A 16771-nucleotide genomic window follows, 5' to 3' on the forward strand; every position below is an offset into this window, starting at 1 on the left:
TCACTGTATTTGCCAAAGCTTAATCTTGAAATTTCCAGTCTCCAGAATTTTGAGCAATAAATTTATGCATAGGAATGGTGGGTCATTGAACCTCATGCTCTGTGATTTTTGCAGGTGTTCACTGCAAGCCATGCCTGGTTAAACTACTGTGCCTTTTCTTTTCTTTTCTTTTCTTTTCTTTTCTTTTCTTTTCTTTTCTTTTCTTTTCTTTCTTTTTAAAACTTTTTACTTCAGTAGAATTTTGGGGGGAATGGGTGGTGTTTGGTTACATGAACAAGTTCTTTAGTGGTGATTTCTGAGATTTTGGTGCACCATCACTGAAGTAGTATACATTTTACCCAATATGTAGTCTTTTATCCCTCACCATCCTGCCACCCTTCCCTTGAGTTCCCAAAGTCCCCAAAAGTTTATTGTGTCATTCCTATGCTTTTGCATCCTCAGAGGTTAGCTCCTACTTATGAGTGAGAACATATAAGACTTCGTTTTTCATTCTAGGTGAAGTGAGTTGCTTCACTTAGAATAACAGTCTCTAATTCCACCCAGGCTCCTACCAATGCCATTATTTAATTCCTTTTTATGGTTGAGTAGTATGCCATTGCAACAAAAGCCAAAATTGACAAAAGGGATCTAATCAAACTAAAGAACTTCTGCACAGCAAAAGAAAGTATTATCAGAGTTAACAGGCAACGTAGAGAATGGGAGAAAATGTTTGCAATCTACCCATCTGACAAAGTTCTAGTATCCAGAATGTACAAGGAACTTAAAATCAATAACCCCATCAAAAAGTGGGCAAAGAATATGAACAGACACTTCTCAGGAGAAGACATTTTTGAAGAAAAGCTCATCATCATTAGAGAAATACAAATCAAAACCACAATGAGATACCACCTCACGCCAGTTACAATGACGACCATTAAAAAGTCAAGAAACAACAGATGCTGGAGAGGATGTAGAGAAATAGGAATGCTTTTACACTGTTCATGGGAGTGTAAATTAGTTCAACCATTGTGGAAGACACTGTGGAGATTCCTCAAGGATCTAGAAACAGAAATATCATTTGACCCAGCAATTCCATTACTGAGTGTATACCCAAAGCATTATAAATCATTCTATTATAATGACACATGCACATTTATGTTTCTTGCAGCACTGTTCACAGTAGAAAAGACTTGGAAACAATCCAAATGCCCATCCATGATAGGCTGGATAAAGAAAATGAGGCACTTATACACCATGGAATACTATGGTATCTATCCCTGGAGGCTTGATTTGGCAGGTTATGAGTGGGAACCAGGAATCTCTCTAGATGAATCTGATGAGATGATGGATTTGGAAAAATAAAGGTCTGTATTATTCCAAGATGGTATGAAAGCTTCTATACTCCACTGGGGACATGGGGTTGGGTAATTACCCTATTAATGACCCTATGATGCTCCCTGTGTTAGTATGTTTGTTTGAATTTTCTCCAATTAATTTTGCCTTTTGTGAGTTGATTTTTCAGAGCAAAAAGGGAATGTTTTCCCATGGCCTCTGCAAGGATAATAAATTCAGATGTAACATAAAAAATTTTGGAAATTTTGGGAGAATTTATACTTTTAAATATCCAAGAATTTGTCTTAGGAAAAAAAAAGGAATAGTATTGGAAGGAGGATGCAGGAAGAATGAGAGAGAAACAGAGATACAGAGATTGGGGAAAGTGAGGTTGAAGGAGGGTTTGTACACATCTGACATGCTGGAGAGATAGTGAGGAGATCAATTGGGGGAATGTGAGCTTAGGCAGTTCTAGTGTGTGCCTATTCGAGACACTGGTGAAATAATGGAATTATCTTTTTAGAGCTTCTCTGGATATAGGAGATGGTTTCCATTTGAATGGAATGCTGCCATGCTGAGCCAGGAAATAAGGCTTTCCTTAAAGGTGCCTTATAGATCATCAACCTTTTGAAAAACTTGCCAATCAGTGACCTTGCTGCATCTGCACTCAACTATTTAGGTTGGTGCACAGGTAATTTAAGTTTTGCCATTACTTTCTTCCTTTTCTTTTTAATTTGATGATTTTTAGTAAATTTACCAATCTGTGTGGTTATCAACACAATCCAGTTTTAGAACATTTCCATCACTCTGGCAAGATGCTGTATGCCAATTTACAGTTAATCCTTGTTCCTGTTCTCTGTCTCAGAAAATCGCTATTCTCTGTTGTCTTTAGAAGTTTGCATTTTCTGAACATTTTAAAAATGGAATCATGCAATATGTAGGTTTTTGTGTGTGCCTTCTTTAGTTCAGCACAATGTTTTTTTTTTATTATTATACTTTAAGTTCTAGGGTACATGTGCACAATGGGCAGGTTTGGTACATAGGTATACTTGTGCAATGTTGGTGTGCTGCAACCATTAACTCATCATTTACATTAGGTATTTGTCCTAATGCTATCCTTCCCTCAGCCCCCTACCTCAACACAGGCTCCAGTGTGTGATGATCCCCACCCTGCGTCCAGGTGTTTTCTCTGTTCAATTCCCACCTGTGAGTGAGAACATGCAGTGTTTGGTTTTCTGTCCAAACACTTTGTTTGGACAGAAAAAAACACTTTGTTTTTTGTGATAGTTTGTTCAGAATGATGGTTTCCATCTGCATCCATGTCCCTGCAAAGAACATGAACTTATCTTTTTGATGGCTGCATACTATTCCATGGTGTATATGCGCCACATTTTCTTAATCCAGTCTATCACTGATGGACATTTGAGTTGGTTTCAAGTCTTTGCTCTTGTGAATAGTTCCACAGTAAACATACGTGTGCATGTGTCTTTATAGTAGCATGATTTATAATCCTGTGGGTATATACCCAGTAATGGGATGTCTGGGTCAAATGGTGTTTCTAGTTCTAGATCCTTGAGGAATTGCCACACTTTCTTCCACAATGGTTGAACTAGTTTACACTCCCACCAACAGTGTAAAATCATTCCTATTTCTCCACATCCTCTCCAGCATCTGTTGTTCCCTGACTTTTTAATGAAAGTCATTCTAACTGATGTGACATGGTAACTCATTGTGGTTCTGATTTGCATCTCTCTGATGATCAGTAATGATGAGCATTTTTTCATGTGTCTGTTGGCTGCATAAAAGTCTTCTTTTGGTAAGTGTCTGTTCACATACTTTGCCCACTTTTTAATGGGGTTTTTGTCTTTTTCTAAGTTCTTTGTAAATTCTGGATATTAGTCCTTTGTCAGATAGGTAGACTGCAAAAATTTTCTCCCATTCTGTAAGTTGCCTGTTCACTCTGATGGTCGATTCTTCTGCTGTGCAGATGCTCTTTAATTTAATTAGATCCCATTTGTCAATTTGGCTCCTGTTGCCATTGCTTTTGGTGTTTTAGTCATGAAGTACTTGTCCATGCCTAATTCCTGAATGGTATTGTCTAGGTTTTCTTCTAAGGCTGTTATGGTTTTAGGTCTAACATTTAAGTCTTTAATCCATCTTGAATTAATTTTTGTGTAAGGTGTACGGAAGGGAACCAGTTTCAGCTTTCTACATATGGCTAGCCAGTTTTCCCAAAACCATTTATTAAATAGGGAATCATTTCCCCATTTCTTCTTTTTATCAAGTTTGTCAAAAATCAGATGGCTGTACATGTGTGGCTGCATAATTATCTTCTTTCTGAGGCCTCTGTTCTGTTCCATTGATCTATATCTCTGTTTTGGTACCAGTACCATGCTGTTTTGGTTACTGTAGCCTTGTATTATAGTTTGAAGTCAGGTAGTGTGATGCCTCCAGCTTTGTTCTTTTTGTTTAGGATTGTCGTGGCAATGCGTGCTCTGTTTTGGTTCCATATGAACTTTAAAGTTGTTTTTTTCCAATTCTGTGAAGAAATTCATTGGTAGCTTGGTGGGGATGGCATTAAATCTATAAATTACCTTGGGCATTATGGCTATTTTCACAGTATTGATTCTTCTAACCATGATCATGGAATGTTCTTCCATTTGTTTGTGTCCTCTTTTATTTTGTTGAGCAGTGGTTTGTAGTTCTTCTTGAACAGGTCCTTCACACCCTTTCTAAGTTGGATTCCTAAGTATTTTATTCTCTTTGTAGCAATTGTGAATGAGAGTTCACTCATGATTTGGTTCTCTGTCCATCTGTTATTGGTGTATAGGAATGCTTGTGATTTTTGCACATTGACTTTGTATCCTGAGACTTTGCTGAAGTTGCTTATCAGCCTAAGGAGATTTAAGGCTGAGATGATGGGGTTTTCTAAATATACAATCATGTCATCTGCAAACAGGGACAGTTTGACTTCCTCTTTTGCTAATTGAATATACTTTATTTCTTTTGCCCAATTGCCCTTGCTAGAACTTCCAACACTATGTTGAACAGGAGTGGTGAGAGAGGGAATCCCTGTCTTGTGCCAGTTTTTAAAGGGAATTCTTCCAGTTTTTGCACATTCAGTATGATATTGGCTGTAGGTTTTTCAAAAATAGCTTTTATTATTTTGAGATATGTTCCATCAATACCTAGTTCATTGAGAATTTTTAGCATGAAGGGCTGTTGAATTTTGTGAAATGCCTTTTCTGCATGTATTGAGATAATCATGTGGTTTTTGGCCTTGGTTGTGTTATATGATAGATTATGTTTATTGAAGTGAATTGTTGAAGTAGGCTTGCATCCCAGGGATGAAGCCAACTTGATCTTGGTGGATAAGCTTTTTGATGTGCTGCTGGATTTGGTTTGCCAGTATTTTGTTGAGGATTTTTTCATCAATGTTCATCAGTGATATTGGTCTAAAATTCTCTTTTTTTGTTGTGTCTCTTCCAGCCTTTGGTATCAGGATGATGCTGGACTCATAAAATGAGTTAGGGAGGATTCCCTCTTTTTCTATTCATTGGAATAGTTTCAGAAGGAATGGTACCAGCTCCTCTGTATACCTCTGGGAGAATTAGCCTGTGAATCTGTATGGTCCTGGAATTCCTTTGCTTGGTAAGCTATTAATTGTTGCCTCAATTTCAGAACCTTTTACTGGTCTATTCAGAGATTCAATTTATTTCTGGTTTAGTCTTGTGAGGGTGTATGTATCCAGGAATTTATCCATTTCTTCTAGCTTTTCTAATTTATTTGCGTAGAGGTATTTACAGTATTCTCTGATGGTACTCTGTATTTCTATGTGGTCGGTGGTGATATCTCCTTGATCATTTTTTATTGCATTTCTTTGATTCTTCTCTCTTTTCTTCTTTGTTAGTCTTGCTAGCAGTCTATTAATTATGTTGATCCTTTAGAAAACAAGCTCCTGGATTCATTGATTTTTTAAGGGTTTTTTTTTTGTTGTTGTTTCTATCTCCTTCAGTTCTGCTCTGATCTTAGTTATGTCTTACCTTCTGCTGCCTTTTCAATTTGTTTCCTCTTGATTCTCCAGTCCTTTAATTGTAATGTTAGGTTGTTGATATTAGATATTTCCTGCTTTCTCCTGTGGGCATTTGGTGCTATAAAATTCCCTCTACACACTTCTTTAAATGTGCCCAAGAGATTTTGGAACCTTGTGTGTTTGCTGTCATTGGTTTCAAAGAAAATCTTTATTCTGCCTCCCTTTCGTTATTTACCCAGTAGTCATTCAAGAGCAGGTTGATCAGTTTCCATGTAGTTGTGTGGTTTTAAGTGAGTTTCTTAATTCTGAGTTTTAATTTCATTGCACTGTAGTCTAAGAGAGAGTTTGTTGTGATTTCTGTTCTTTTACATTTGCTGAGGAGTGCTTTTCTTCCACCTATGTAGTCAATTTTGGAATAAGTATCATGCGGTGATGAGAAGAATGTATATTCTGTTGATTTAGGGTGGGGAGTTCTGTAGATGTCTATTAGGTCTGCTTGGTGCAGAGGTGAGTTCAAGTCTTGGATATTCTTGTCAACCTTCTGTCTTTTTGATCTGTCTAATATTGACAGTGGAGTGTTAAAGTCTCGCATTATTATTGTGTGAGAGTCAAAGTCTCTTTGTTGGTCTCTAAGGACTTGCTTTATGAATTTGGGTGCTCCTATATTGGGTGCATATATATTTAGAATAGTTTGCTTTTCTTGTTGAATTGATCCCTTTACCATTACGTAATGGCTTTCTTTGTCTTTACTGATCTTTGTTGGTTTAAAGTCTGTTTTATCAGAGACTAGGGTTGCAACCCCTGCACTTTTTTTTTTTTTTTTTTTTTGCTTTCCATTTGTTTGGCAGATCTTCCTCCATCCCTTTACTTTGAGCCTATGTGTGTCTCTGCGTGTGAAATGGGTCTCCTAAATACAACACACTGATGGGTCCTGACTCTTTATTCAATTTGCCAGTCTGTGTCTTTTAATTGGAGCATTTAGCCCATTTACATTTTGTTACATGTGAATTTGATCCTGTCATTATGATGTTATGTGGTTATTTTGCCCATTAATTGATACAGTTTCTTCCTAGCATCAATGGTCTTTACAGTTTGGCATGCTTTTGCAGTGGCTGGTACCAGTTGTTCTTTTCCATGTTTAGTGCTTCCTTCAGGAGTTCTTGTAAGGCAGGCCTAGTGGTGACAAAATCTCTTAGCAATTGCTTGTCTGTAAAGGATTTTATTTCTCCTTCATGTATGAAACTTAGTTTGGCTAGGAATGAAATTCTGGGTTGAAAATTCTTTCCTTTAAAAATGTTGAATTTTGGCCCTCACTCTCTTCTGGCTCGTAGAGTTTCTGACAAGAGATCCACTGTTAGTCTGATGTGCTTCCCTTTGTAGGTAACCCAACCTTTCTCTCTGGCTGCCCTTAACATTTTTTCCTTCATTTCAACCTTGATGATTCTGACAATTACATGTCTTCAAGTTGCTCTTCTCGAGGATTATCTTTGTGGTGTTATCTGTATTTCCTGAATTTGAATGTTGGCTGGACTTGCTAGATTGGGGAATTTCTCCTGGATAATATCCTGAAAATTGTTTTCCAACTTGGCTCCATTCTCCCTGTCACTTTCAGGTACTCCAATAAAATGTAGATTTGTTCTTTTCACATATTCCCATATAGTTTGGAGGCTTTGTTCATTTGTTTTTACTGTTTTTTCTCTAAAGTTCTCTTCTCACTTCATTGCATTGATTTGATGTTCAATCACTGATACCCTTCCTTCCACTTGATCAAATTGGCTATTGAAGCTTGTGCCTGCATCGTGTAGTTCTTGTGCCATGGTTTTTAGCTCCATTAGGTAATTTAAGGAGCTACACTGTTCATTCCAGTTAGCCATTCATCTAATCTTTTTTCAAGGTTTTTAGCTTCCTTGCAATGGGTTTGAACATCCTCCTTTAGTTTGGAGAAGTTTGTTGTTACCAACCTTCTGAAGGCTACTTCTGTCAGTTAGTCAAAGTCATTCTCCATTCAGGTTTGTTCCATTGCTGGCAAGGAGCTGCAATCATTTGGAGGAGAGGAGGTGCTCTGTTTTTTAGAATTTTCAGCTTCTCTGCTCTGGTTTCTCCCTATCTTTGTGGTTTTATCTACCTTTGGTCTTTGATGTTAGTGACCTACAGATGGGGTTTTGGTGTGGTTCTCCTTTCAGTTATGTTGATGCTCTTCCTTTCTGTCTGTTTAGTTTTCCTTAAAATGGTCAGGTCCCTCAGCTGCTGGTCTGTTGGTGTCTGCCGGAGGTCAACTCCAGACTGTATTTTCCTGGGTATAACCAGTGGAGGCTGCAGAACAGCAAATATTGCAGAACAGCAAATATGGCTGCCTGATCCTTCCTCTGGAAGCTTCATCCCTGAGGGGCATCTGCCTGTAGGAGGTGTCAGTCAGCCCCTACCGGGAGGTGTCTCCCATTTAGGCTACACTGGAGTCAGGGACCCACCTGAGGAGGCAGTCTGTCCATTCTTAGAGCTCAAATATCGTTCTGGGAGAAAGACTGTTCTCTTCAGAGCTGTCAAACTGGGACATTTAAGTCTGAAGAAGTTTCTGCTGCCTTTTGTTCAGCTATGCCCTGCCTCCAGAGGTGGAGCCTACAGAGGCAGTAGGCCTGGCTGAGCTGCGGTGGGCTCCATCCAGTTCAAACTTTCCTGGCTGCTTTGTTTACCTACTCAAGCCTCAGCAATGGCGGATGCCCCTCCCGCCAGCAGGCTGCTACTTTGCAGGTCGATCTCAGGTTGCTGTGCTAGCAGTGAGCAAGGCTCCTTGGGCATGGGAACTACCTGCCAGACATGGAATATAATCTCCTGGTGTGCCATTTGTAAGACCGGTAGAAAAGCACAGTATTTGGGAGGGAGTGTCCCGTTTTTCTAGGTACCATCTATCATGGCTTCCCTTGGCTAGGAAAGGGAAATCCTGTGACCCGTTGCACTTCCCAGGTGAGGCAATGCCCTGCCCTGCTTCAGCTCACCCTCCATGAGCTGCACCCACTGTCCAACAAGAACCAGTCAGATGAACAAAGTACCTCTGGTGGAAATGCAGAAATCACCCGTCTTCTACATCAGTCATGCTGGGAGCTGCAGACCGGAGCTGTTCCTGTTCAGCTATCTTGGAACAGACCCTGCCATTACTTCCAGTGGCAAAAACTGCAATTACTTTTGCAACAACTTAAACTTCAGCTCTTTCTTTCCTGAATTGAAATTATTTGTCCATGAGTCAGATCTGTCCTCAGCACCTCACCTTTGTCCCCTGACTCCCATTGCAGTTTGGCTTCTCATGCTTATTATTATAACTGATGCCAAAAGGCAAAGTCTTCTCATGTCTTTTGCACCCAGGGTAGCAAGATGCAGGACCATGTAAAATGTTAATAGTGTGTCTGTAATACACACACAGCCACATATAGCACCATCTTTATGAAGGCTTAAGATGATGTAGTCATTTTCCTTGTCATTTCCATGGGAAGCTGCTCTTGGTCACACAGGGAAGGCCCCAGTTCCCTATCCAAAGTGGCATCAAGGAGATGCTATAACAAAAAATGAAATGCAATTAGGGACCTGCTATTCCTATTCGAATGCTTAATATCAGCCTCATGGTTGGCACTATCCATCCCAGATGCCAGCCAATGTAGCAAATTGTGTAGGTGATCCCAGCGTCTGAACCTAGCTGAACACAGTTGGCTAGCTCATTCCCCCTGTATATTAGGAACTGAACGTGGGATTGTATCATCACCTTGGAATGGCCACTGAGAGGTGTCCCAGTGCCGTTGTGAGAGGCGGCCTGCTGGGTTTTGAGAATGGCACAGCCAATTCATGCACATGTCTGCCGGAATCAACAGGGAAGGGGTTTTCTGGCTCTTCTCCTGACCTTCAGCATGTGTAGAGGTTCTGAGGAGAGAGGAGTGCTTGATGAAGCTCTCAGAGTCTTTTGCATCCATATGGCCAGTATTTTAGCTTTTCTAGCTGCAAATGGTATTCCTGCTCAAATACATGTCCTTTTATTCTATAAAAAAAGTGAAATGTTCCTTTTTTGTTGAAATTGCAACTATATGGGAAAGTTATTTTTGCTTTGGAACAAACTGATAGGGAAGAAAAATCATCCCAAGGGGCCACCTCAACTGGTATCTAACTCCTTTGCAAGCTGGAAATAATTGAAAGAAAGGGCTTCTGCTATAGACTAGAGATCCTCAGAAACTAAAATGCATATAGTGTTCACTGCACAAATGCCTTCAATGCACCCCCCTTAGTTTCTATCACATTGCCATCCCAATTATTCAACACTGCCAGAGATGTGTTCTGTAGAATTGTCATGAACTGTCGGTTAAACTGAGATGCTTTAAAGTGTCAATGGCAAAAGTTTGTTCCTTCAAATTTGCTCAAAACTATGCACATGCAAACTTTAGTGGGTGGGCTCTCACATTTATCATTAATCCATGTCTTAGTGATTTATTATTATCGATATGAGCATGACATATCCATATGAGTGTGTCAAAACTATAGCTATAAATACAGATGTGCATATTGGTGTTGAGAATGGAACCAGCAATAGCTGGTTATGATTTTTGAGGACATTCACTGGAACGTTGCATTCACAAAATGTCTGTAATCCTTCCTCAATTTCTGAGACTTGCTGCAAACTCATAAAAGCAAGTGAAGGATAGGCTAATTTTCAGGACAATATAATATGGCTGATTTTATGCAAAATTAATTACAGCATTACAGACAGAACTGTTCTTTGCCCAAGTGGTTTTCTCATCTGCCCGCAAAATCATTTTATCCCTTCCCGTTGTCAGCATCCTGGGCTTTATTGGTATCATTCAAACCACTTCATCATCATTAACAAACTGGACTGTGGGCACCATCTCGGCCAGGTCGGTACTTTCCTCTGCCTTCCTTCTACTGGTACTGAGATAAAGAAGAAATTCTGTCTTCTACTTTAAGAATCCATACTGAAGGAAGGGCATGGTCCAAAGTCCACAGTTGTTTTATCCATACCAATAGAAGTACTGAGGGCAAAGATGATGCAGCACATGATGACTCAGAGCCCTTCCATATGTGTTTGAGATGTCTGTGCTTACCAATATTGCATGAAGTACATCCTGTTTCTCAGGCTCTGGATTCATGAAACAGAGCTGGGAAAATGGAGCTCTGGAAATGGCTGATACTTGATTTAAAGGTTAAATTAAAACTAGGAGTACAGCAAGGGTAAGATTTCCCATGGTAGCTACATGATGGGCTAAATGTATCCTCAAGTTTTCTCTGTAGAAGTTGGTTCCATTCTTAATCACAAAGTGATCCACAGGTCCAGTCAATAAGGCAATGGGAGCAGTCTCTTGACTGCAAAGCATATTAGGATGTGAGAATCACTATGGAGCACATGTGTATGATTCTGGTTTCCACTGCCAGAACCCCTGGGTTCAAAATTTGACACTGCCAGGAACTGCTCATTTGAAGAATTACAGCAATGTGCTGGGCTTCCATTGCTTTCTCTCTGAAATGAGGGTATTTAGAGCATGCTATTGTTTCTGGAATATTACATTTGAGTAAGGGAGAGATTTCCTCTTCTGGACAAGAAAGAATAACATAGATTGGCTTAACTCTCCTAACTGAAACAACCAGAAAAACAAACAAAATATATGAAAAAGTGGTTTCCTGAGTCTAGAAATAGGACAATGAAGGACAGTGCTCCCTGAGAGCCAGGAAATGAACAAGGTGAGCACCATGTTTGACACAGCTGACTGCCTTGACAGGGCTGTAGGACACACAAACCACTGGGGAAAGAACCATCTGAAATAGAGAAAATAGTGTGTGGTGCTCACACAGGGCTGGAAAGAGTGCCCGTTTCCACCAGCCAGACTAAAAAAAAACCTTGTAATTCATGAGCCATTTGGCTAGACTACTCAGAAAGGTCTTGTGTGAATAGTGGGGAATATTTATCTGCAGTCTGAGTCCTGCTCTGAATCTTCCCAATGATTCGCAATAGCAAGGCTCCAACATGCCAAATATCTCCAAGTAAATTAACCTAAAGTGAGCAGATTGCTCAAATATATTTGGAGGAATACAAAAATATCTGGCATACTAAAAAGAAGATTCATAGCGTTTGGCATCCAATCAAAAATGTCTAGGCATGCAAAGAAGCAGGAAAAGCTCATCAGCGGACACTGACCCACAATGGATGCATATGTGAGATCATATTTTTGGGTCTCAAGATTTTGCCCTTTGTTTCCTTCTCAAAGTCTTGTGGTTTTAGGTTTTATATAAAGGTCTATGATCTATCTTGAGTAACATTAGGATGCATGTATGTTTATTTATGTGTATTATTTGTAGGCATGAACTGAAGTTTATTTTTTTGCATATGAATATCCAGTTGTTCCAACACCATTTGTTGAAAACACTATCCTTTTTTCACCGAATTGCTTTGTACATTTGCCAAAATCAGTTGTGCATATATGTGTCTATGCTATTCCATTGATCTAATTTGTCTATCTTTATGCCAATACCACACTCTTTTGATTACTACAGCTTTCTAACACAGCTTGAAATCAAATAGCATTAGTCTTCCAATGTTGTTCTTTTTTTTTTCAAAGTTTAACATCTTAACATTATTAGGTCTTCCAACAAATGACCAATTTATATCTCCTCATTTACTTACATCTCCTTTTATTTCTCTCAAGAATACTTCTGTAGTTCTCAGGGTGCAGCTCTTATACATATCTTTCAAATTTGTTCCAGAATATTTCATATTTCTGATGCTATCAAAAATGGTATTAATTACTTTAAATTTTGATTGTTCAACTAGTACATAAAAATAGTACATTATTTTTGTATATTGAACTTGTGTCCTGTCACTTTGCTAAACTCAATTTGTAATAGTTCTAGTAGCTTTTTTGGGTATTCAAATTGGATTTTTGTTTATGCTGTCTATGCATAAAGATGGCTTTACCACTTGTTTTGTAATCTGAGTGCCTTCTATTTTTATTTTGTTACTGCACTAGTTCTGATTGCTAGTAAAATGTTGAATAGAATGGGGAAAGTGGGCATTTGTATTTTGTTCCTGAATTTAAAGAAAAGTATTCAGTTTTTACCATTAACAAGAATTTTAGATTTTTAGTAGATTCCCTTTATCAGGTTTGTTGAAAGAGTTCCTTTCTATTCCTACTCAGCTGTAGGATTTTAATCATGGCTGGAGATGGGGTTTTTAAAAAATGCTTTTTCTACATCTGTTGAGATGGCCATGTTGTTGGATATTTTTGCTTTTCCCTCATTTTAGTTTGACAATATTGTGGTTAACACTGATTGGTCTTCAAATGTTTTGAAACAATATTATATTTCAAATTACTTCTTACTTCTGTGATATAACCTAGGATTCTTTGTCTGAGTGTCTGTGCATGATTAAATAGATCACAGTATCACATTCTGCCAGGACCCACATGGCTGCAATGTACTCTTTTACTAGCAGAGTAGCACCTGAATCTGAGCAATGCCTCAGAGGCGATGGAACTGAACAGGAGTGAATCTGCCTGGGCATGAAGGGCTCTCTTAGAAAATAGTGTGATTGCAGTTTATGTTCTCGGGTGTAATTACGTAGGAGGATTTTTTCAGTCTTCTGTAAGCAGGAAGACAGTGTTCCCCACTACTCAGAGAACTGTTGTAGGTGTTCTTCCTGTTTTTTTTAAAATGAGAGCTGTGGCCAGCCTGTCAGAGCACATCCTCTTCTCTCGGGCACATTCGGGATTTGCTTACTGGTCTGTTCACCTTGATAGAAGTTACTCTTCTCTGTCTGCTATATAAATTAACTCCATTCGGTGGAATTTCTATTTCCCAAAATTCCGCTTCTGTCTTAAAATCTTTTCCAAGTATGGCTTCTCTTTACATATTTGGTGCACACTTCAGTGATTACAAAGGTACTCCAAGGTCCTGCCATGATACTGAACAAAATTCAGCTGCAGCAAAAGTGATCAAGGAAGGCAGCAAAGGATTATCATTGTGGAGATGTAGTACAACCTTCCAGCTGTGAAACCTTGCACACATCACTGCATATATCTGTGCCTGACTTTTCTGAACCTGAATTACTCAGTGAACAGGGCACCTTGCAGTTTGAATGACCCTCAAGCTCTCAGAACTTCTCCAACTTTAAATCACCTTATTCTAAGAGAGAACTGTATTTGCTAACCCCAAGGGAGACAAGCTTGTCACTTCAGCCTTCCCTTTATTTAAAAAAGGTAACTTGTGCTAATTCTCCAGTACATAGCACTTAAGTCATTTCATCACAGAAAGATCTTTAGGGGTAAAGTGATAAATATACTATGTCAACTTGGAACATTTATTTAGCACTTTTCACTGTGAAAACTTCAGATTTCTCAGGTCAGCAAAGACAGGCTTTTGTTTAATCGTTTTGCATCATCAGATATCAATCTGCAGGGTGGAGGACACATCATTTAGGAAAAGGTGAAAGGGAAGGTAGGGACACCTCATTTAACAGAAATTTCTGCTGAAGCCCTAAGTTAGTGTGTTGGTCTTCCCCATAAGCCTTCTGGCTTTTAGAGAACAGAAACTGCTTATTCTTTTATTAAGCTGGGGGAGGACTTCTAAACTGCATAACCTCTCAGAACTATAAATGTGTATTGTTTCTATCCATCTGGACCTTCCCAAGGCCCCAGCAGCCTGCCCAAGGCTTCATTATCCTTGTAACAATCATGGCACAGTATTGATGGGAAGAAAAGCTGCTGGCTCGTGCTCCTTGCCTACAGGGAATGGTGCTGATTCCTGTTGCAAATCAGATTCATTATCAGAGGCCCATCAAGTCACAGTGTCCCCTTCCCTGCTGTCTCTTGGGCCTGCAATGTCAAAGACGTGGCAGAAATGCCACTATTCGCTACTCCTCTGCTTTGGCCAGATGCACTGATGGATCATTCAATTCTTTGACACAGATCTGTGCCCTCAGCTCCTTCTGATAGAGTGCCAGATATCCAGCGTCACCTTTGCAGTTTGGGAAGTGGCCCCCAGCATCCACCCTGTGCACTTTCCTTGATCTTGTCCATGGTGCTGAGATTCTGTGTGGCCCCCATGCCAATGATCTCGCTCTGTGGGTCTCCATCCAGGGTGATGCCTGCCCTCCTACCACCTGTGAACATTTGGTAATATCTAGAGACATTGTTGGTTTCCATCATTGGGAGCAGGTGCAACTGACATGTAGTAGGAAGAGGCCAGGGACGATACTATGCATTCCATGTTGCATAGACACCCTCCCACAGAAAACAATAATCTTGTTAAATGTCAGTAGTGCTGATGGTACACAGATGATGTCTCACAGCACAGAATGATCTTCCTAAATGTCAGTAGCACCAAGGCTGGGGAACCCTGGTGTGTCCGACAAGGAAACCTGGGATTCTCTCTCCTCTAGGATTGGACTCTGTCCCATGGTGCTGTCTGCAATGACTGGGATTTTGATACCTAAATCTTCCCGGAGGAAGAAATCTTTCCTCAGGAAACTTAATTATCCTGCCAATGCTCACCAGCTGGAGTTTGACTTCGTATTTTTGTTGGTTTCCAAGAAACCTCTCATTGCATTCCCTCAGGTATCCATGATACTCAAACCATGCATGTGTATAGCACACTATGTTTAGCTTGCACAGCATCTCATGCCAGAACCATTTATGGCAGATTGTTTCAGCTCATTCTCCCATCGCAGGCCTGCTCCCCTATGCCTAGTTACCAGCAGGTCTCCCAGTTGAGCCTGCTGCATCAGGATAAAACTGTGGCCACAAGCCAACACTGAACACTGCCACCTGCAGAAGCTGGCTCAAGTGCTGCCTGCTAACAACCGAATAAGTAAATTTTTGCTGCAGAACCAACCATGTATACAGGTCTTCAATATCTTTCTGAGCTTATCCTAAGAGAGCTTTTTCACACTTCATTTGCAAAGCAGGATGACACATATATGTCTTAAGTAGAATATATATATATATATATATATATATATATATATATATATACACACACACATATATATATATACACACAGAGAGAGAATATATATTATATAAACAGAATATATATATTCCCAATAAAGGGAATATATTATTTTATTTATAGACTATATATATAGACACTATTATTCTATATATAGCATATATAGAGAAGTCTATATATTGTCCTAGCAAACTCATACAGACTTATTATTCTCTATATAGTCTAAATATTAACAGACTACTATTATGAATAGTCTACTATTATTAGTAGTCTACTATTATTAGTAATAATAAACTATATATGGAATTACAATATAGTCATCTAAGATTTAAGTTTTATTTGTCTTCATGTTCTTTGTCAGACAATGATCTGTAAATAAGTACTACAATGTTGTCATGTTGCATATGTAAACACTATTTGATGTTTGTTTAAACATGACTTTAAGTAATGTTGTAAAAATGACTACTGTGGTATGTGTGTGTTTTATTGCTAATTAGTACTTTTGTTTATATTATTCATTGATCCATCCGTCTGTCCGTCCATCTCTATCTCTACCTCTATCTATCTATCTATCCATATCTATCTATCCGTATCTATCTATCTATCTATCTATCTATCTATCTATCTATCTATCTATCTATTCCTGCCTTCCTCCTGCTCTCCCTTCATCCAACCATCCACCTGCCCACATCCACCTACCTACAAGTAAGCCAGATGTTGTGCTGCATTGAGTTAAGTAATAGTGCTGATGTGGGGGTCAGTATCTCCTGTAAACTGCAGTTTTAAGGTTTTACTGAATCAATAGTGCTGTGAAAATCAAACTATAAAACCTATACTGATATAAACTGTTTACAACAAAATCCTCTAGAGTTACAAGATAGTAATGAATGAACTGCACCTCTAAGTTGGTTCTCTCATTTGTAGAGAAAAGCCTTTGAAAAACTTCAGGATTTAACAACTTGGTTGAGGGGTGGCAGGAAAGCTTCCTAATGAATTCTCTCTGTGTCATTTTATTCATAAAAAGCACATGACGGGCATTCTTAGCATGCATATCAAAGTGTATATACGTAAATTAAGCAGTGAGCAAAAGACTTTAAGACAGCTCAGAAAACCTTCCCGATTTCCTCTTTTAATGGTGCAGATACCGTGTCCACCATCTGTCAGACAGCAGTGAAAACCCAGCAAGGCCCTGAAAGGGGCTGACTGTCTTAGAGTCAAAAACAAACCTCAAGTTTCTAGATGGTCACTAGAAATCATTTTCTTTTTCCACTTCCTCTGGGTAAATTGTGTTAATTCATTTTCCATAGTCTTCTGCATGAGACTTATGATCTGCAGGTGTGACAGAAGGCCCTATCAGTTTTGTGTGTTTAGAGGGACACTATGACTTCAGACAGACTCAGGAAGATTAGCCATGTACAGGAATAAAATGCTCTAACC

The 16771-nt window shown here is 39.2% G+C and overlaps 1 long non-coding RNA gene across 1 annotated transcript in view; it reads right to left on the minus strand.

Moving 5' to 3' along the window:
• Positions 1 to 16771, minus strand: part of LOC107987355 (uncharacterized) — a 118030-nt gene that overhangs the window by 66874 nt on the left and 34385 nt on the right. The gene's annotated exons all lie outside the window — the stretch shown is intronic.

This window comes from Homo sapiens, chromosome Y, assembly GCF_000001405.40.
Source record: "Homo sapiens chromosome Y, GRCh38.p14 Primary Assembly".
Classification (NCBI taxonomy): domain Eukaryota; kingdom Metazoa; phylum Chordata; class Mammalia; order Primates; family Hominidae; genus Homo; species Homo sapiens.